The sequence below is a fragment of the Homo sapiens genome, chromosome 10 (assembly GCF_000001405.40).
Source record: "Homo sapiens chromosome 10, GRCh38.p14 Primary Assembly".
Taxonomy (NCBI): domain Eukaryota; kingdom Metazoa; phylum Chordata; class Mammalia; order Primates; family Hominidae; genus Homo; species Homo sapiens.
Window position 1 is genome coordinate 79,092,434 of NC_000010.11, and position 19,739 is coordinate 79,112,172.

Genomic DNA, 19,739 nt, shown 5'->3' on the forward strand with positions numbered 1-19,739 from the left:
ATAAATGGATCCGTGCTGATAACCTAAGCCTCGCTGCACGCAGTGTGGCTGTTGTTGTGCTAGGAGACCCAGGCTTGGGCTGCGGCTAGGGGTGTCCCCCTGTGGGCAGAGCCCCATACCTGTTGTCACAGTAGCATCGCAACACCTCCTTATAAGCCTTGGAACCTCGGCCAAGAGGTTTCTGTGTACGCTTCTTGGTCTCTGGTGACTTCTAGGCCCATTTGACATTTCTTTGCACTTCCTGCCCACTCCTGGAGGCCCCTGATTAGTCTACTTGGTTACAAACCCATATCAGATCCCTGATATCTCCCAGCAAGCCTTGCACAAGGCATGTGCCTTTAAGTGATGCTCGTGGCTCTTTGAAATCTGGACACCAGCTGGCAGAGGGGTGGTCAGGTAGCTCGCTTTTCTGTAAGATGGGTGTATTTTGTTTTTTTTCTTTTGGAACAGATTTTGATTTTCTGATAATAGAGCCCTTGAGATAGTGAGGAGACAGTACCGGAAGCAGCACCCCCAAAGCCGTTTGAATACAATGCAAGCAGTTGAGGGGCTGAGCTACCAGCCAGTAGGAGAGAGGTTCCTGGGGGTTCAAAGAGCAGTGGGGGAAACTGAGGTACAGAGAGTACCCAGCAAGAGAATGAATGAGTGGCAGGTCCAAGCTTCAGATAATTATTATTCTTTCTACCACCCCCCCCACCCCCAACACACACACACACACACACACACACACACACACACACACATATTCAGGGGATGCTTTAGGTTCTCTGCACTGTGCCATGCAGTTTATGTGCATTATCTCATTTACTGTTCTGAAGAACCCTACGCGGGAAGGACTGCTGTACCCCAGTTTTATTTTATTTATTTATTTATTTATTTATTTATTTATTTATTTATTTATTTATTTATTTTGAGACAGAGTCTCACTCTGTTGCCCAGGCTGGAGTGCAGTAGCGTGATCTCAGCTCACTGCAATCCTGCCTCCTGGGTTCAAGCGATTCTCCGGCCTCAGCCTCCCGAGTAACTGGGATTACAGGCGCCTGCCACCATGCCTGGGTAATTTTTGTATTTTTAGTAGAGATGGGGTTTCACCATGTTGGCCAGGCTGGTCTTGAACTCCTGACCTCAAGTGATCCACCCACTTTGGCCTCCCAAAGTGCTAGGATGAGAGGTGTGAGCCACCACGCCTGGCCTGTATCCCAGTTTTACACACATGCGTACGTGATGTGCTCAGAGTGATTAGGGCCACAGAGCCAGAAGGCGTTTTAGGCAGGATTTGAATGCAGGCCTGTGAGTTTAGATCCTGGCTCCCACTACCCTATGCACACCCTCCCATGCCCTTGCGTGCCTCTTCAGGGCCTCTCTCTGGGCCATCCCTGCCGCAAGCACTCTGCAGACAGACAGTCTTCCTCTTTCTAGGAGGTGTGGGTGCAGAGGACTTTGTGTATTGGGGAGATAAAAGAGCCCGTTTGGGATGATTTTTATCAGCTCGAGCAAGTCGGTTTGACTTACAGGAAGAAGCCAATTTGCATTTTGGGAAAGAGCTGAGTGTAAAGGCCGCAGTGAGCACTGGGTGGATTTATAAATAAACAGTCGACCGAGGGCATTGTATGTCCCCAGCTGTACAATGCTGGGTTCATATTGACACCACAGACCTGTTCCACACGTCACAGCTGCCCTTTGGACAGAAAGGGCCTAATTGAGTAAGAGAGCGCTGCTGCTGGAAATGCCAAGGAACCCTTCCTCCGACCTGGCTTCCTCGGCACAAGCGAGCCGGGTGAGTCCGGCTGCAGCCGGGCCTGTTTACCGAGGCTGCTGGCATTGCATGCCAGGTGCAGAGCCCACGGGCGACTCAGAAGGCCACGAACGCTGGGGCCAAGGCGGCCTCTGCTCTCCCTGCAACCCGGAGGGAGCTGGAGCCAGAGCCAGATCTCAGGAAACTGGGGTCATTGCATAGAGGCTGCCAGACAGTCTGCAGAGCTCAGCGGCCTGGGTTCAAACCTTCTCGCACACTGCCACTGTCGGTTACTTTGGCTTTCTAGAGCCAGATTCCTTGGCCATGAAATGGGTACTGCTTACTTCCCAGGTTATTTTGAGAATGAAGTGAGATGAAGTCAACAGTAGATGTATCTGTCCGTTGTCCCTGCCCTGCTGTGGGATGACAGAGTGATTTTGGACAAGACCAAGGCCTCGCTGGGCATCACTGTCTTCTTCAGAAAGCAATGGGGCTAGGCCAGGTGCACAGTGGCTCACGCCTCTAATCCCTGCACTTTGGGAGGCCAAGGTGAGCGGATCGCTTGAGCTCAGGAGTTCGAGACTAGCCTGGGCAACACAGTGAAACCCTGTCTTTACCAGAAATACAAAAACTAGCTGAGCATGGTGGTGTGCACCTTTAGTCCCAGCTACTGGGGAGGCTGAGATGAGAAGATTGCTTGAGCCCAGGAGGTCGAGGCTGTAGTGAGCCACAGTTGCGCCACTGCAGTCCAGCCTGTGTGACAGAGCAAGACCCTGCCCCTCCTGGAAAAAAAAAAAAAAAGAGAGAGAGAGAAAGCAAGCAAGCAGTGGCGCTGGATGCTGATCAGAGGCCTGGGGCCCTTGGACCAGAGAGGGCTGTCCCTGCCCAGCTGGCTACAGGAGCTCTGACTCTCAGACCAGCCTAGGTTCATATCCTGTGTCTTCCACTTGTGGGACCTTGGGCATTTGACTTCCTCTCAGGACCTCAGTTTTCATGGGTAGAAAGTGGGAACGATTAAGGTTGTTGGAAAGACAAAATATGCTCATGTACACTTAGTGCTCAGCATAGGGCTGGCCACATGGTGAATGCTCATAAATCAGTCATGTCTATAACATACATTTCAAGGGAAAAACATCTGTTTTGAGGGCAGAACGCTATCAAGTCAAATATTTTCCTGATTTAATTTCAATAGTACTGTTATAAAAAACAATAACCATGATACCGATAGTTAGAAGACCGCCCCTTCCAGGCCCACTTCTTTACCCCTTTGCTTTTTGGCAATAACCCTTGTGCAGAGCCAACCCCATTCTCCTGACCTAACCAGTTCTCACCTGGCCATGCGGCCTTTCCGGGTGTCAGGCAGGTCTCTCCGGTTAGGTAAGGGAGGCCTCATCCTTCTTACCTGACTGCTCTGAGTGCAGATCTATGCTGCTTCCCATCTTCTCCAGGCGCCTGATCTATTACCTTGGGCTTGGAACGCACCTAACAAAGGCTACCGTGAGGAGGCCCCTCGGTACCTGTTCATCTGGACACATCGTGCAGACCCCCGCACCCCGTGTGGCTCCCGGTTAATCTTCAGGGTGCAATCAATTTCTTCCTCAGAGGCCAGACTTCATTGTTCTAAGCCTTTCTCAGATCCACATCTTGGGGCTGCTGGGGTCCCTGCATCTGTGTCCTGGTGGTCAGTTTGAAGCACCAGCAGACAGCAGCGCTAAAGGCACCTTGTGTGTACTACGTGTGGCCATCTAGGGATGTCTCCTCTGTTGCTGAACCTGCAGATCCCCGTGAGGCAGGTGGGGCCACAGGCCTCTCCCCTCTGTTTTATAGGGGAGGTAATTGAGCAGAACTTAGGACAGTTACATGCTTTGCTTCAGTTGCGGGGCTGGGATTTGGACCTGGCTCCTGGCCTGACACAGGTCCTCAGCTTCCACCAGCCTTGCTGCCTCTGAAGGTTGCTGGAGAAAGGAAGCTGAATGTAGAGGGTGGGTCTGGAGGAGAGGGGGAGGAGATGAGCCCAGAAGGACAAATGTTTGCACAAGGAGTTAGAAATGAGATGTCTAGGCTGGGCACGGTGGCTCACGCCTGTAATACCAGCACTTTGGGAGGCCGAGACAGGCGGATCACAAGGTCAGGAGATCGAGACCATCCTGGCTAACACGGTGAAACCCTGTCTCTACTAAAAAATACAAAAAAATTAGCCAGGTGTGGTGGTGGGCACCTGTGGTCCCAGCTACTAGGGAGGCTGAGGCAGGAGAATGGCGTGAACCCGGGAGGCGGAGCTTGCAGTGAGCCGAGATTGCGCCACTGCACTCCAGCCTGGGCGACAGAGTGAGACTCCGTCTCAAAAGAAAAGAAAAGAAAAGAAAAGAAATGAGACGGCTTCAAAGAACCTCCAGCACGTGGAGGTGAGGGGTGGGAAGGGCTCTGAAACCATTGGCCGTTTTCTTGAGTGCTTCTTGACCCGAAACGCTGCCTTGAGGGGTTGATAGAGACTGGCTCCTTCAGTCAATGCCTGCTTTCAGACCTGGATGTGGGGGCCTGCTGGGTGCCAGCCCCCTGCTAGGCTCTGGGAATAGGACAATGGCCAGAACAGATAAGATCCCTGTCTGCTGGGAGCCAAAGAGAGAAACCAGGTAAACAAGACAATCACAATCAAGGACACCTTTATAAATTATGATAAGCACCAAGAAAGAAACAAACAGGGTGCTGAATAGAAAACCACCCAGAGGTGAGTGTGGGGGCCTTGAGACAGGAAGGCCTTTCTGAGGAGGGCCGTGAGATGATGGGGTGGGAAAAGAGAGCACACAGGCAGAGGAAACAGCGTGTGCAAAGGCTAGAGACAGAGAGGGGTCCCATGTGGCTCGGGGATGACCGGCAGGGGCAGAGCAGCTGAAACACGGTGGGCACCATGCATATCTTCCAGCTCCACTTGCCCCCGGGTCGCCAGCAGTGCTGCCAGCCTGCTGTGGGCATGGGCTCAGGTGTGGACATGCCTGTATCTGCTGGGGGGTCCCACATGGTGCTGGCTCCCTGCCTCAGCCAAGAGGCACATGACACATGACATCACTGGCTATTTCTGCCTCCCACCGGCCACCTCCATCTTTGCAGCATGAAGGGAGGCCTGGCCTGAGCCCTTAACTGGTCCCCTGGCTTGGCTGTCTGCCACTGAATATCACCTGCTATTTCAGTGACCATCCTGCTGTCATAGAGGGCAGAGGAGGCTGAGGGGTGCAAGGGCTGTCACCAGGGGTCCCCGGACAAGCCCAGGTTCTTCCGCCTAGGGTCAGCCCTGGCCCTGCAACCTTTGTTTATTTACTTTGGGCCTTGCTCAAAACTAGTAGCAAGCTGCCTGGAATGCAATGTGACGAACTCGAGATAATAATAAAATCAATTGGACTGTTTCCCCAGTAATTCTAGAGACTGATGCATCATTAATGTTGGTAATACAGTGCCTGTCAGATCACAAACTTCTCAATAAATGTGCAGCTGGCAAGCTCTGATAGAAATTGGAGGCAAGCAGAGAATGAGATTTGGGGCCTTTGATATATGGGGTGTCAGTGGCGCAGTGAAGTTTTTATCAATTTCTGTCACTTTGGGCTTTTGTGCTCACAGCATATGTGGTCTTCATGGCACCTCTCTGTGGGCTGCTTGGATGCTAACTGCACCCCCCCACCCAACAGTGTGAGGAAGAGGAGTTCCTGGAGAGGCCTCAGCAGCACTGGTGCCCTTCTGTGCAGCTTCATTACCAGGGGCTTCTCAGGCAGACGTAGACGGGCAAAGCCTTTGGACTTGACTCTGTGGATCACTCAGGCACTCTCCAAGCATTGATTGAGTCCCTGTTGGATTCAAGATGCCACTGGGCCCTCGGAGGCCTTTGGAGGCTCTGGAGGACTTGATGGAAGTCTGGGGCTTGGGGTTGTGGGGAATGGTCAAATGATCATTCCTACCTAAGGGTCAGGAGAAAATGGAAGCAGTGTGTGAGCTAGCCTGGAAGTGTCTTGCCAGGTAGACTAGGAGAAGAGACTATTAGACTGGGGAGCTCTGTGGGCCCAGGCCCTGAAGCATGATGAATCCTGGAGTTTATGCGGGAGTGAGGACTTTGGCCAGGCCAGGCCCCAGCGGCATTGGAGAGAAGGCAGAAGCTGCCTGGAGGCAGTGTAGTGTGGTGGTTAGCACAAGCACTCTGGAGCTAGACAGGCAGGCTCCGAATCCTAGCTCCCACACTTAGCAGCTGGGCAACCTCAGGGAAGTGACTCGACCGCTCTGTGCCTCAGTTTCCTCACCTGTAAAATGGAGGTGGTGATAGTTGACCACCTATCTCGAAGGACTCTAGCGAGCATAAATGAATTAATACTTGTATGAGTGCCTGGTCCATTGCAAGCACCTGATAAGTAATTGGCATTACTTTTGCATAATGAGCTCAGTGAACCCACCAGTCACCTGAAAGCCATACAGTGAGATTCAGAGAGTTGAAGTGGGGCATCCGCACTCATACAGCCGCCCAGAAGCAGAACTGAGATTTGAGTGCAGGTGATCTCAAAACCTGCGTCTCTAAGCTGCTGCTGAGGCTGCGGTTGAGAAGCGTGGGCCTTGGGTGCCCAGGTGGAGGAGGTGGCATGCGGCTGGGGGCCCAGCACCCTACCGAGGACAGGCCTGTGAGGTCACCGTCATTAGCAAGGAGATTGGGTGGGCAGTGAGTCAGCTCAGGCTTCATTTGTCAGTAGCCCTCTGGAGCTGGAGAACTTCTGAGACTGGGGACTTGACTGTGGTGCAGACGTCTGCATTGGCCCCTGGAGGCTGGAAGTGGCTTTGAGTAGCAGAGGAGCCAAATGGGAACCATGTTGGCGGCAGATTCCAGAAGTGAGTCAGAATTTCAATGTTCCCAGCTCATCTGCTTGAGAGCAGGTCCTGAGACCCAGCAAGGCCTGCACCCCCTCCTCGACACCCACCCACCCTAGAGCACCACAGTGTCTGCAAACCAGAGCGGAGGGTCCCTAGGCTGTGGGGGTGACTTGGGTGTGCGCACATTCTGATGCAGCTATCACTGTGGTGCACCTGCTGGGGACCCACCGTGAGGCCCCGGGAGTCGGTGTGCTGGTGCTGGATACCAGCGCTCCTTGAGAGTGCCCTGGGCACAGGGACCCCATGCTCCCATGAGCAGGGGTGCTCCTGGCCCTTCCCCAGGCTGCCTTTGAAAAGGTCCTTCCCCCTCCCCATGGCTCCACACAACACCAGGATGTACTCCTGGCTGGTTCTGCATCTGTGTTTGCCTTTAAAAAAGGTGGGTTGCAAGGCCCCCCAGGGCCTCAGGAAAGAAGAAGCAATCTTGTTAGACTGGCGTGTGGAAGACAGAGGGGCCTGTGCTGCACTGGGAACAGGGAGCGGTGGCCTCTGGGCCCAGGTCTGCCCCCATCCCCTCCCCGGCTCCCTTCAAACCTCCCTGAGCCTCCATGCCCTGCTTGGGACGTCCCAGTGTGGAGCCCAAGTCCCTGCACTTGTTGGGTGGTGGAGGATAGCTGGTCCTGCATTTCCCAGGTGATGTGCCTGGGAAGCATCTCTCCATAAACCCCCTGTGACTTGGGCTTGGAGGAAGTGTCCCTTCCTGCCAGAGGAGCGGGGGCTGGGTGAAGCATTGAGAGGAGCTACAGGTGCATTTGAAAAAGCAGGTAGGTCTTCTTTTTACCACCTGGAGGTCCTGGTTATGGGGGCAGGTAGGAGCACGGTGCTGACATGGTCCTAACCGGTGTGGTTCCCATCACTACTGCTTGTATGACCCGAACAAGTCTCCAGCCACTCTGAATGTCACTTATCACCACAGTGCAGGTCCTCATGCCCACCTGACCTGGGGTGTAATGGACCACACACCCTGATGCTCAGAGCACATCTCTTGTTGAATGCTAGGCCCTGGATGACTGGTCCTGGCCCAACCCCAGGAGTTTAGAGCCTCACTAGGGAACAAGACTGGGCATGTACTACCTGTAGCATGAGGGGCTGGTGGCTGTGAACAAGAGCCCTGCTGAGGGGAGCCCCAGGGGGACAGGTTCAGGTCAGCCTACTAGGGGAGGGCATTCAAGGAGGGCCTCCCAGAGGAGGTGGCCTTTGTGCTTCAGCCCAAAGGATGAGTTGGGGAATGCTCAGCAGAAAGAGGCAGGTGAGGGCTGGGCATGGTGGCTTATGCCTGTAATCCAGCACTTTGGGAGGTCAAGGTGGGAGAATTGCTAGAGCCCAGGAATTCAAGAACATCCTGGGCAACATAGACACCATCTCTGAAAAAAAAAAAAAAAAAAGAGGGCAGGTGAGGTTATCAGGCCTGGGTGGGTGGGAGGCAAAGCCTGGGAGCTCAGTGGGGGCCTGATCACATCCCAGAGGGCCTTGAATGCCGAATGGAGTTTATCCTTGACTCAGGGTCAACAAGGAAACATTGTGGGGTGAAGAGTGCTGTCCTCAGATCTGATTTGCAGACCAGTAGCTGCAGTGGCTGCTTGGAGGATGTTCTCACAGGGGTCCCATGATCCCTGCTGCGTTCCAGGAGAGAGGGCATGAGGCTCATTGCTGGCAGGGGCCTGGGTATGGGCCAAACAGTGCTGCAGATATCATGTGGCTGGTAGGGGGTGAGGATGGTGGTCATCGGGGGCACTGGGTGCTGTGGTATCTGAAGGGAGTGATTTCCAAGTGCCGTGAGGGTGCCCTTGGCCCTCAGGGCTTTTGCACACAGCATCCCTGGGTGCCTGCTAAACGTGCAGATGCTGTTCTCACCCCAGCACAGCTGGGCCAGGTGCATTTAGAAACCTGGCTGAAAACTGCAGGTCTGATGAGGAGCACAAAGGTCGGGTCCCTAGAGAACAGGAGCCTTTGAAGGAAGAGGGTGGAGCTGATTGCAGACTGCCGAATCTTGAAGGGGTCCACAGAGGGGCTGCAGGGTGTGGACTTGGCTGCAGCAAGGAGAGAGGAGGACCAAGCTCTCCCCTTGATGAGTAATTCAGCATACAGTTGAAGCTCTTTGCAGTAGGTGTGAGGAAGGCAAGATCTTGGCACTGGGGATGCTACTGATTGTCTAATGGAAGGGGTTCTCAGCACAGGCAAAGGGCTGAGCTCACTGTGCTGGTGAAGGGGGCAACTGAGTAAGTCCTCTAGGATGAGGGGGAAGTTCCTAGTCTGGAAGTGAGGGAAAAACATCTGAGGCAGAGGGAACAGCATATGCAAAGGCTCAGAGTGCTGGGGGGATGCTGTCAGAGGGGCACAGCTCTTGAAGCCAGGCCAGCAGGGATGGACTTTGTTCCTGTCTAGGGGCAGCAAGTCAGCCAGGCTTTCTTCTCTCAAGTCAGAGAAGAAAGGCCAGGGCTACTGGATCCTGGAATGTGTGAGGTCCTTGGCCCAGTGGATGTCTGGTGGCCTTGGTGTATCTTATTGGCACGGCCACGTTCACAGGACCCGTGGGGTCAGGGGAGGGCCTACTTGTGCAGAGGGAGGGGTAGTCTCTAGGTAGGCAACTGGCACCTGCCTCCATCTGGGTGAACCAGGGCAGGGAGGGAGGGAGGCGGGTGGCCAGGTGACGGCCGTCCTGGCAGGTGCGTTCCATCATCTGCCATGAAGACAGCCGTGGGGCCTCAGGGGCTGGAGCTGTTTCTCACACTGTCCCCGACCATAAACACACACACTGAGATTCCACCGTTGTCCCTCCCCTCTCTGAGGATGTGATGTGAGGAGCAGCTGTCAATTACCATCAGCTGCCACAATGCAGGGAGGCAGCTGAGGACCAGATAGAGCAGGAGTGGCCAGCTCCAGGTCACACGGCAAGTGGGACCTCCGACCAGCTCCCAGCCTCCCCATGGCACCAGGGACCTCACGTGGGTCAGGATCTCTCCACCTTCTCTGTAACTCTGGCTCCTGCTCTCAAGGAGGAAGAGCTGTCCCCTAGCAATAAGCTCTTCCCATCTGGAGTCACCAGCTTGTTCAGCTTTTCCTCACCTCCCTCCACCTACAAACAACCCAAGGGAACAAACCCAGAAAGCCAGGTCCCAGCCTGTTGGACCAGGCCTCGCCCAGTTGGAGCAGAAGGCGTGCAGTGGGGAACGCAGCCTGTAGCCCCTCTCACAGGGAGGCAGAAATCCCGGCTCTGGAAGTGTATAAACACGGTTATTTTTAGCCTTCAGAGGGCTGTGGGCGCAGCAGCGTGACCTGAATCTGGCTCAGCCCCCTCCTTCTGCCCCACCCGGGAGAGAAGGCCTCCTTTGCCCCGCCCTCTGCTCCATCAGCCTCAGGGCTGGGCCAGTGAATTCCAGGATCCAGGGAGAGAAAGAAATGGGTGTGTGTGGGGGTCTCAGCAAGGCTGCCCAGGGCCAGGAGCTGAGGGGGGACAGGATGTGGTTTTCAAAGAGGCAGCATTTCAAGTTGCAACAGAAATATTGGAGCCACCCAATTTCATGACTTTTCCATGGGTTCTTACTCCCTAATCCTGGTCCCTTCCCTGGTCTGGCTGGAGGCGAGTCCCAGGCGCCACCTGGGAAGCAGTGCTGGCCTAGCACCAGGCGGCCTTGCTGCTGCTTTGCTGCCGTAGGCTACCAGGCCCACATAGCACCTCTCCGCGGCTCAGTGCCCTCATCTGAGAAGTGGGATCATTCCCAACCTGGCTGGCAGGGAGTTGAGGGGGTGATGGTGAGCTGACAGAATCGTAGCTGTTCACTCACTTGTTCATTCAACCAACACTTATTAAATGTTAGTTTTATGCCAGCCAGTGATCTAAACATTGGATAGAAAGCAGGAAACCAGCTTGAGGAGGTGCTGACCCTCCTGGGGCTAACATCATTGAGCAGGGCTGGGGAACACAGAAGGACAGTAATCAGCTCGTAGTACGTGCAGTACAGTAGTAATGTCGAGCGATGTGTTACGGAGCGGCTGGGGTGGGGGAGGCGGCATGTATTTTAGATGAGGGCAGTCTGGGAGGACCCCTTGAGAAACTGTAAAACAGCCAGCCACTGTAGGTGGAGGAGGTGGTGAGCGGGAACAGCAGGTGCAAAGGCCCAGGGGTAGGAATATGCTTGGTGCCCGAGAACTGAGGACATGGGGAAACCGTGAGGGGGAGCGAGCAGAGCCAGCTGCACGGGGCTCGAGGGCCGTGGGGATGCCTGGGGTGGGGGGCTGTAAACAGGAAAAGCTTTACAGCTGTAAGGAAGAGCAGGAAGGAAGTGAGAGTGGGAGGCCAAGGAGGGGCTGTTGCCCCCACCCAGGCAAAGGAGCTGGCGAGGAGTGGGCAGATCCGCACGCGGGGAGGGTGAACGGTGGAAATGGCAGATGGCTTGGTTGAGGGGGAGCGTCAGAAACCAGGATGGTTCCTTGACTTTTGGATTTGATGCCTGGGTGGGTGGGGGTGGAGAGGGCATTTGATCCAAAAGGAGGGCGGAGGGAGAACAGGATCTAGGGGAGGGAGGGCAAGGGGTGATGCCAACCTGGACACAGGTTTTCGGTGTCTGTTGACATCGGAGTGGAGAGGGGAGCCCTGGGGGAGCAGCTGCATGGGGCACACCAGGCCCCAGGCTGGCAAGCCCTCCTCCCTGGGGCTCTTTGCCAGCCCGGAGCCAGGCTGTGTGGGCGAGTGCTTCCCTGGGGGCCTGGCCTGGGGTTTTGTCCCATTGCATCATGGATGAGGACCTTCCGGTCCCCTGGCTTGGAGGCAGACGTAGGTGGAGGTGCAGAGTGGTCCACGGCTCTGCCCAAAAGGCTGGACAAGTTGGAAGGTGGTCTGTCATTCAAGCACCATTTGCCATTGGCTGGATGCGAGCCCTGGTGTCACTACCAACCTTGTTCCCAGCTGGGCTGACTTCTTACTATGAACTAGCAACTATGAACTAGTCCTGCCACTCCTGTGCCTGGACTGGGATGGGAAGGACAGCAGGAGTAGCAACATGCTCTGGAATTTTTCACAGCAGACCTGGTTCACTTTCATCTGGTCACCAGACAATGTAGTGACCCCTCCCCTCTCTGGGCCTCAGAATCCCACCTGAGACCCCAGGATGGAGTAGAAGGTCTTCAGGGTCTCCGTGTGAAACACAGCCTTTCGATGACGGAGATTTGGTATTGAGAGGGTCATGGCGTGAGTAAAGGCCTGGAGGCTGGTCTAGGGAGTCACCTTGCAGGATCTTGGGGAGCGGATGAGTATAGAGTCCGCGTGCATAGAAGCCATGTGCAGGGTGGTCACTGGAGGTGAGGTGGGAACACCAGGCTGCCTGGTTGGGTCAGAGGGACCAGATTACCATATAAGCCATTGTGCTCTCAGGATAATCTCCTGGCTTGTTAAAGCCTCAGTTTTGTCATCTGCAAAATGGGTACAATAGACGTCACTGAGCTTGCAGGGGTGAATACCCACCAAGGTACAGAGATGGGCCAACTCAGTGCCTGGTCGTAGGATGTCTTTGATTTCCAGAGGTTGCCTTCTTTCCCTGTCTTTCTCCAGTTTGTAGCCAGAATCCAAATTTCAGGGGAGGGCTCTTTTGCTGTTGGGGCTTCCTGTGAGAGCCACAGCCCTGGGCCTGGGAGTCCTGCCAAACCCAACTCTGGAGGCCGTGAACCTCACCGTAGCCTTGGGGACTGGCCCGCTGGCCACGGCACTCTGAGCATCAGCCTTAGGTACTGCTAGTAGGAGGTGCACTGGGGTTTTAACCAGAGGCAGTAATGAGCTTTCTGAAATCATGCCAGCTTCATGTTTTGTTTCTCAAAGAAACGATGGGCCTTGATTTCCTATCAGCATTGATGTGGTTGCTGTTGTTGTTGGGTTGTTGTTGTGGGGTGTGTGTGTGTGTGTGTGTGTGTGTGTGTGTGTGTGTGTGTGTCTTAACTGCCATGGGTTTTAAAGCCATGGTGGAAAGTGAGGAAAATAGCAGATGCTAGATCCAATTGCCACCAAACTGTCTTGAAATGCTATAAATATTTTCTAAAAAGACTAGCTTCCCGAGCCCAATGTGTTAGTTGTCTCCTCCCTGAGAAACTGATTCCCGAAAATTTAGACAAATAACCTCTTAAATCACAGCTGTTAACCTCGGGTGTAAAAACTGCTACCACACCAGCCGCAGGTCACAGCGACTCTGCTCTGCCTAAGTGCCTCCGTGTGGCATAGAGAAGGTGGTGGCAGAGAAGAGAGATCTTGTGCTTAGGCAAGAGACCAGGGTCGGAAGCCGGGCTTGGCCACTGACTGCTGTGTGACCTGGGGCCATTGGCCCACCTCTCTGAGCCTCTTCTGTGTAACAGACCTGTTACAGGCTGCCTCGATCCTGAGAGTGCCACTGAACTGAGCTTCTTTCTGCTCCTCAAAGGTAAACAAAAGTGACCGTTGGCATTCAGGAGTTCATGTTAATCAGGACTGAGAAAACCCCTCCGCCCCTAGTCCCCTTTAGCCCTCTGACTGTGTCAAGGACAGCTGCCAGTGACTGGATACTTGCTGGTGTCTCTTTTCAACAGAGAGCACCTGCAGGACCCGGAGCCTCCAGCAGGCAGGCAGCAAAACAGTGCCATTGTTTGTTCTCCTTGTATTTGTTTTTGTGTTTAACTTCTATCCTTGGTGAGTAAGGCTAATTTTGTATTTAAGGTAGTAATATAAAGTTCTTTTAAAAATAAAAGTATTTATGCAAAAGTTGTGAATTGATTATTAAGCTAATGGCAGTTTCGATGGCAGAAGGAAATGACAAACATCAGGAAGATGGGAGGAAATGTGACGGACTCTGCACACTGTCCAGGTTGCCCTTCCCCTAAGTGCTCACCAACTTCTGTGCCCTTGTAGAAGGAATGAGTGGGGAGGGGTTGCTGGAGGGACGTTCTGGTAAATTGTCTTCCAATTGCACAATACCCAGAGGTGACCACCACACTCCCTAAGACGGTGGGGCTACAGAAAGCCCCATTCTGGCATCCGGGCCAAGGAAACCACTCTCGTGGAGAGTCTTGGCCAAGAAGCTGGGATTCTGTAGCAAAACCAAATCCCCCCACCCCCAGGCCCTCTGTGCCTCTCCATTGAAGTTCCCAAACTGAGGGTCTAAGCTTGACACCATCTGGCTGCTCTCTCCTAGGCCAGAGACCAAGACCAGGCCCTAGCTCTCCCAGATGTGGCTGAACCCAGCAGAATGTAGTAGTTGCTCCACTAACAGGGACATCAAGTGCTGTAGGTTTTGTCTTATGCTCTGCCTGAGAGTGACAGCCTGGAGTGCTATACAGAATAGCAATTCTGAGGCTACAAGGAGCTCTGTAAGAGAGCATGGGGACCAATTGGTAATGCCTGCCATGGGTGTGGGAAGGAAGCCTGGGGGTACACAGGCCTTTATTTGTGACTCATATGCTCCCCCAAGCCTGTGGCTAGATCCTGCCCCCATTGCATCGCCAGCACCCAGCTTGGCGATCAGTGGGTGATTGAGCCCAGAAGCTCCTATAAGAACTTAGCAGATGCTCCTTGGCCGGTCTTTGCCCGTTGTGCAAGGGGACATCCCCCAACCACATTGCAGGCCCTGGAGGGTCAACACTCAGCCCTTGAGTTTAGGAAGCTCTTGTTCATTCCATACCCACTCCCTGCTAGGGCTGGATATGGGGTAGGTACCCAGGAAGTGTGTTGATGAGACCCAAGAATGATCGACAAATGGGACTGGAGAGGTGGTTCGGCCTGGCTTGGCGGCAGTCCATGTAACACTACCTCACTACAGGCATCGTGCAGGTGGCCGAGTGCCCCAGATTTTCTAGGACAGCCCTGGTTTCAGATCCTTCATCTATTGTTCTTGAGTGCCCCTGCCTGAACAGGCATTTGGGCTCCGCTTTGGAAGTCCTGGCTGCTGTGGATATAGCCCTCATGATCATGCTTTTTGATCATTTTCAGAGCACTCACTCTTCCATTGCCTTTGCATCTGGCCAGGGGATGGAGCAGCCCCATTTGCTCACTTTTTTCAGGTGAGGAAATTGAAGGCCAGAGTGAGCAAGTGACTGGCTTGCGGCCACACAGCCAGTTAATGCAGACATCTGGCCTGAACCTGTGATACCCATCTTCTGGCCACTTCACTGTCCACTTACAAAGCCCAGAACTTTCTGCATCCTGCTATTTAAGCCTCATTCATTCAGTCAGCTTTTGTAGCCTAGCGGGTTAGACCTCAGGAGTCAAACAGCATGCTTTGCATTTGAACTACTTCTGGCCGTGTGACTTTTGGTGAGTTCCTTTCTCTCTCTGTGCCTCAGTTTCTTCATTGATAAAAGGGGTGTAGACACCACACGGGGCTCTTGTGAGTATTACTGGGTTAACAGTGTCTGTCTCAGGGTGAGGGTTCTGTGGGGCCCGCCAGTGGTGTTCACAGAGGTGGATTGATCAGAGTTGCTCACAGTCTGGTGAATGTGAGGTGGGAGGCAGATGTGTTCACCACGAAAGAGCGTTCAAGTGGATGGGTGAGGTCAGAGGTGCACTGGGCACCACCGGGCGGTGGGAGGAGGGACCGTCTCCATTGCTCCCACACTACTCGGAGGCATTCAGAAAGGCTCCTCCGTTGATGGACGCTACTTGGAGCAGGGCTTGCAGGGGGCAGGGAGGGCACTGGCCTGATCCTGGCAGATAGCAACCTCCAAAACTTCTCTGGACAGAGGATGGCACTCATGCCTACCGCCTCACTACCTCCAGCAGCTGGAGCTTCTGGGCTCTGCTGTAGGGTGGAGGTGGGGTTGAGAAGAGGTGAAAAGACCCAGTTGCTTTGTCCCAGGGGCAGGCACAGAGTCCTGCCTGAGGGCCCTGGCATGGGGTAATTGTCTATTGTTCATCGTCTGGTAAGCCAGCTCCCCACCTTCTTTCTGCCTGCCTGCCTTTCTGTCCTTCCTCTCAGCATCTGTCTATGCAATATAAAGAGCCCCTCCCAACACAGTCACCAGTGATCTGCTTCCAGGCTAGTGTTGACATCCCAGCCCACCCGGAGACCCATTTATTCTGCCACTGGGGCACAGGGCCCAGTTTTAATCATCCTCGCTCCACTGTGAGATACAGATGGTTGTATTATTAATAGTCATAATTAATCAGCATCCACAGAGGAGCTTTTCCCTAGGCAGCAGATCCTCAGGACGAGCAGCCCTGGGAGGTCCCATTCCAGTCCCCCTTTACAGACAGGGGAAGTGAGGCTGGGAGAAGGGGTGGTGGGACTCATCCGAGGTGGAGCTAGGTATGGACCCCAGCTCAGATCTCAGATCTGATAACCACCTGCAGTGTTACTGTCTGGGAATGGACTGTTCACCCCACCCACCCATACCTAGGTCCTAGGGTGCCAATTGCTGGGAGAAGCTTTCAGCACTGGGGATGGGAGGGTGGTGCTCAGGCTGATGGTGCACTTTGAGATCTCAGGCTGAGAGTGAAGGAAGAAAGGTGGGATGGGGAAGAAAGGCCTGAGGGAGGCCGGACATATTGGGCTAGCAGGACAGGGGGCCTGATTGGGGTAAGGGTGGGGAGGTGGCCTTGGGTAGAAGGAAAGCCAAATACCAACCATCACCCCCTAATACACACAGATCGTGGGTCAGGGCCTGAGGTTGGCTGCTTCTCTGTTCTAAGCTCTGCATCCCAGGGACAGTGATATAAATGCTTACAGCAGGCAGCATCCTGATTTATGGGGCTGTTTTGGACGGGCCTAACTACATCAGCACAGAGGCAGTGAGGGGCTTCTTGCACAATTCTGCAAGCCCACCTTCTCCCCTGCCTGGCTCCTGGGGCTGACCACCACCGAGGCCCCTGTGCATGCATGTGCACATGCATGCACCCAGACCCACGCCTGAGTGGGCACACCCAGGCCCACGTGCTCTGTGTGCACCTGAGGCTGTCCACATCCCTGCCCACAGCCCATAAACTGTGTTAGCCCAGCACGCAGGTGTGTGCTGCTTTGGGCCTGTGCGCAGATGAACACAGGTGTGCCCAGGTGCACACATGTGTGTGTCTGCCTGCACTCTGCAGGCATCCATGTGCCTATGTCCTCTGGGCTGCCTCTCTCTGTGTTGATCTGTTCGTGGCTCTGGGAGGTGGATGTCTGTTCGCTGTCCTGTGTGTGTCCCAGTGTGGATGTGCATTGGTGAGGGGTGTACATGCCTCTGTGCAAGTGCGCCTGTGTGCATGGGTCTGTGTGCACACATGTGTGGGCATGCAACTGCCGCCTCATCCTGTCTTTTTCATTATGGGTGTTGTCCACACTCACATCCTTGCGTGCAACACACACCCGGTGCCCAGCGTGGCTGGGCTGCCCCCGCCTGATCATTAGGCTCATGGATAAGACTCTCTGTCATCGTAAATGAGTATAGAGTGCCCCAGTCCAGGAGTCCTGAAGGAACTGGGGAGGTAGCCTCATCTGTCCTCAGCATCTCCACCCCACCTCCATATGGATGGTGCTGGAGAGGGGAGGCTGGGAGGGAGGGATGTGGTGCCCACTCCCAGGCCCCCACACTGGGTTCCTGATCCACCCTTTGTTTCTCCCCACCATGCCTATGCACTCGCCCATATTCTGTGCCAGACCTTGAGGACAGCCCCGGGTCGTGGGAGAAGCCCAGTCAAGAGTCAGGCAGCCAGGTGCACAAACCCAGGCTCTGTTGCCAGCATGTGGCCCTAGACAGCCCCTCTGCCTCTCCCATCATCACTGTTTTCCCACCTGCAAAATGGTCTTAGCAATGGCCACCTCATGGGGTTATTGTGAGGACAAAAGGGGTGCAGAAACTGCTAGAGAAGTCAAGTTCCTTCCCCCAGCAGACCTCAGTCTCCCCATCTGTAAGATGGCAATAATGACCCTCACCAGTGGTCTCATGGAGTGTTTTGAAGGTCAGATGAGAAAAAGGTTCAGTGAAGGCTGCAGGGTGGTACCCATAGGACTTGTTCCAGCTGTGAGCAAAGGAGATGAGGGGTGCTAGGCACTTGGGGGTGGCATGCATGGCCTGGGCCAGATGCCTGCATCCAAACCCCCATGCTGCCACCCTCTGGCCTTGGGATGTGGGAAGGTTACTTCATCCTCATCTGCATCTCTATTATCCTTAGATTCCTCATCTTTCCAGCAGGCATGTTCGTAGTAGTATCCATCTCCTGGCATGTTGGGAGAATTCAGGAGAAATGAGTGTGGAGCTTAGCACAGAGCTTGACACAAAGCAGCTGCTCAAATCAGCGGTATTTGTTATTCTTGTTTTTGGCCTTATTGCGATACCGGTGGCCACTCGGTCTGGAAGGACAGGTGAATGCATGGCGGATGGTGCATTAATACCACACTAGGATACCTATTAATGAGGTTTAATCTGTGTTTCCAGACTTGATGTCCATCCGTCCCACCGAAGAAGAGTTCAAGCTTTTCTTCCAGGGAACTGAGAGGGCCATGCTGAAACTGGAAGCCTCAGCCTGCAAGAGGTGCCCTGGGGAAGGAGGTAGTTGGTACTGATGTTGGCCGACTACAAAGGAGCTGGCTCCTGGGACTCTGAATGCTGTGCCCTCTGCAGCCACCCAGCCCCACAATGGGAAGCCAGTGGTTACATTTACCCCTGTCTCTTCTGAACCATATGGTGGCTGCACCACAGCTGGCTCAGAGGCTCTGAAAGAAGGCCCACAGGGGAACATGATGTCTTGCCTGAGCCAGGTGAGGACTGAGGCCCCCACTGCCAAGCACTGCAGTCTGGGGCTTCCATTTTCACCATAGTTCCTCTAAGCTGCCTGGAGGAAGGGCTTGAACTCATGAACTTCATGACCAATGGACCTGAAGTCTGGAAGCACAGATGATACCTCATTAACAGGTATCCCAGTGTGATATCAATACATCATCTGTCATGCACTCACCTGTGCTTCCAGATGGGGTGGCCACTGGCACCGAGGGACTCCTTGCACAGTTATGCAGATGGCTGCCAATCTACTTGCTCCCCTTGCCCAGCTCCTGGGCTGACCACCACCGGGGCCCCTGTGCATAGAGCCCATGAGCAGTCCCCATCACCTGTGGGCTTCCCAGTCTGTGCCCAACTTAATGATAGCTGTTAGGGTCCAGTAGAGGATGCAATGTCCCCATCCTAGCAGGGGCTTTACTGAAGAAACGAGGCCCTGGCACCCAGGCCAGGGCAGGGAGGAGACAGTTGGTAGACACAGCCGGGTCTGCAGGGGCTCGGAGGTCATGGGGCCCAGGTGGGCAGGCAAGGGAGGAGGCAGGCCAGGCTGGAGCCAGTCCTTGAAGGACAAAGAGGATTTAGCTCACTGGAAGGGATGGCATTCCAGAAGGACAGAAGTGTGTGGGCAAAAGTTTGGAATCATTCCCGGGGAAAGGTGTACCCTCTCCCATAAGAAGTTTGGCCTGCCCTGGACCAAAGAGCAGAGTCTTTCCTCTCGATGGCTAGTGGCTGTGGGGTGAAGCAGATGGCCAGGGGGTGTGGGTGACGGGGGAGGCGCACCCTCAGGCCTGAGCCAAGGGAAACCAAGTGGGCCCACACAGGCCAGAGCCTGAGACCTTGGCACCAGCTACTCGGAGATCTTGACTCAAGAGTTAATGATTCATTTGTGGCCAATTTTCTGCTGGCTTTGCCTGGAAATTCCCAAGCTTGCCCCTTCCCTCACCTTAGGGAGCTCCAAGAATACAGTCTCACTTACACTTGGCTGAGAACGTCTCACCCACTATCCAGGGAATGGTTTTTAAAATTACAGCAGGTGTGATGTAGGTTAGCCATTAGGAAAAGCTGATCGGGGGCTATAGGCTGGGAGCTGGGGTGGTTTGTTTGAGTGTTTGGAACAAATGTGAATAGAATTCAGTCTAGTGTAAAGTGTTGTGACAGTTACAAATTGGGAGCTACAGCTTGACCCAGAGTAGGACTTGGTTGGGCTAAAAAAGTAATGGCATAGGCAAAGGCCCTGGGGCATGAACATCCAGGGAACGCTGAGTGATTGTGGTGTGGCTGGAGTGTAGAGGGTGTGAGAGACTTCTAGAAGTGTGGACACAACTCCCAAGTGAAGGACTCTCAGGACTTGAAGATTTGGCAGTGGGACGTGCTGGCAGTGGGGAGTCAGGGCTGG

The 19,739-nt window shown here is 54.2% G+C and overlaps 1 protein-coding gene across 11 annotated transcripts in view, besides 12 other annotated features; it reads left to right on the forward strand.

Moving 5' to 3' along the window:
• Positions 1–19,739, forward strand: part of ZMIZ1 (zinc finger MIZ-type containing 1) — a 247,554-nt gene that overhangs the window by 23,468 nt on the left and 204,347 nt on the right. For 2 of the 11 annotated variants that reach the window (XM_047425538.1, XM_047425539.1), the window contains exon 2: positions 18,005–18,327. The exons of the other annotated variants lie outside the window; for them this stretch is intronic. The gene's annotated coding sequence lies outside the window, so the exon portion shown is untranslated. The remainder of the gene's footprint in view (positions 1–18,004; positions 18,328–19,739) is intronic. 11 annotated transcript variants of the gene reach the window in all.
• Positions 1,252–1,755: a transcriptional cis regulatory region, noted in NCBI's record as "chr10:80853442-80853942 region (GRCh37/hg19 assembly coordinates) targeted for CRISPR interference". NCBI's record gives its function as "negatively regulates PPIF gene expression in THP-1 monocytic cells {active_cell/tissue: THP-1}" and the evidence as "EXISTENCE:mutant phenotype evidence [ECO:0000015][PMID:33828297]".
• Positions 1,252–1,781: a biological region, named in NCBI's record as "CRISPRi-FlowFISH-validated PPIF regulatory elements GRCh37_chr10:80853442-80853942 and GRCh37_chr10:80853471-80853971". NCBI's record gives its function as "regulatory_interactions: PPIF".
• Positions 1,281–1,781: a transcriptional cis regulatory region, noted in NCBI's record as "chr10:80853471-80853971 region (GRCh37/hg19 assembly coordinates) targeted for CRISPR interference". NCBI's record gives its function as "negatively regulates PPIF gene expression in LPS-stimulated THP-1 monocytic cells {active_cell/tissue: THP-1(+LPS for 4hr)}" and the evidence as "EXISTENCE:mutant phenotype evidence [ECO:0000015][PMID:33828297]".
• Positions 4,621–5,192: an enhancer, noted in NCBI's record as "H3K4me1 hESC enhancer chr10:80856811-80857382 (GRCh37/hg19 assembly coordinates)". NCBI's record gives its function as "activates a minimal SCP1, AML or CMV promoter by ChIP-STARR-seq in primed H9 embryonic stem cells {active_cell/tissue: H9 hESC(primed)}" and the evidence as "EXISTENCE:reporter gene assay evidence [ECO:0000049][PMID:30033119]".
• Positions 6,391–6,550: an enhancer, noted in NCBI's record as "active region_3625". NCBI's record gives its function as "activates an Ori minimal core promoter by ATAC-STARR-seq in GM12878 lymphoblastoid cells {active_cell/tissue: GM12878}" and the evidence as "EXISTENCE:reporter gene assay evidence [ECO:0000049][PMID:35858748]".
• Positions 8,781–9,664: an enhancer, noted in NCBI's record as "H3K4me1 hESC enhancer chr10:80860971-80861854 (GRCh37/hg19 assembly coordinates)". NCBI's record gives its function as "activates a minimal SCP1, AML or CMV promoter by ChIP-STARR-seq in primed H9 embryonic stem cells {active_cell/tissue: H9 hESC(primed)}" and the evidence as "EXISTENCE:reporter gene assay evidence [ECO:0000049][PMID:30033119]".
• Positions 9,665–10,548: an enhancer, noted in NCBI's record as "H3K4me1 hESC enhancer chr10:80861855-80862738 (GRCh37/hg19 assembly coordinates)". NCBI's record gives its function as "activates a minimal SCP1, AML or CMV promoter by ChIP-STARR-seq in primed H9 embryonic stem cells {active_cell/tissue: H9 hESC(primed)}" and the evidence as "EXISTENCE:reporter gene assay evidence [ECO:0000049][PMID:30033119]".
• Positions 10,549–11,430: an enhancer, noted in NCBI's record as "H3K4me1 hESC enhancer chr10:80862739-80863620 (GRCh37/hg19 assembly coordinates)". NCBI's record gives its function as "activates a minimal SCP1, AML or CMV promoter by ChIP-STARR-seq in naive H9 embryonic stem cells {active_cell/tissue: H9 hESC(naive)}" and the evidence as "EXISTENCE:reporter gene assay evidence [ECO:0000049][PMID:30033119]".
• Positions 14,921–15,098: a silencer, noted in NCBI's record as "fragment chr10:80867111-80867288 (GRCh37/hg19 assembly coordinates)". NCBI's record gives its function as "represses an EF-1alpha promoter that drives an FKBP-Casp9 reporter gene in an ReSE screen in HepG2 liver carcinoma cells {active_cell/tissue: HepG2}" and the evidence as "EXISTENCE:reporter gene assay evidence [ECO:0000049][PMID:32094911]".
• Positions 19,039–19,333: an enhancer, noted in NCBI's record as "tiled region #10541; HepG2 Activating DNase matched - State 5:Enh". NCBI's record gives its function as "activates a minimal TATA promoter and a strong SV40 promoter by Sharpr-MPRA in HepG2 cells {active_cell/tissue: HepG2}" and the evidence as "EXISTENCE:reporter gene assay evidence [ECO:0000049][PMID:27701403]".
• Positions 19,149–19,293: an enhancer, noted in NCBI's record as "145 bp enhancer 157 fragment used in the MPRA reporter construct; PK_construct_25". NCBI's record gives its function as "activates an SV40 promoter by MPRA in HepG2 cells {active_cell/tissue: HepG2}" and the evidence as "EXISTENCE:reporter gene assay evidence [ECO:0000049][PMID:23512712]".
• Positions 19,214–19,227: a transcriptional cis regulatory region, noted in NCBI's record as "HNF1 motif; MPRA enhancer 157 activity is reduced when this motif is scrambled". NCBI's record gives its function as "necessary for full MPRA enhancer 157 activity {active_cell/tissue: HepG2}" and the evidence as "EXISTENCE:site-directed mutagenesis evidence [ECO:0005528][PMID:23512712]".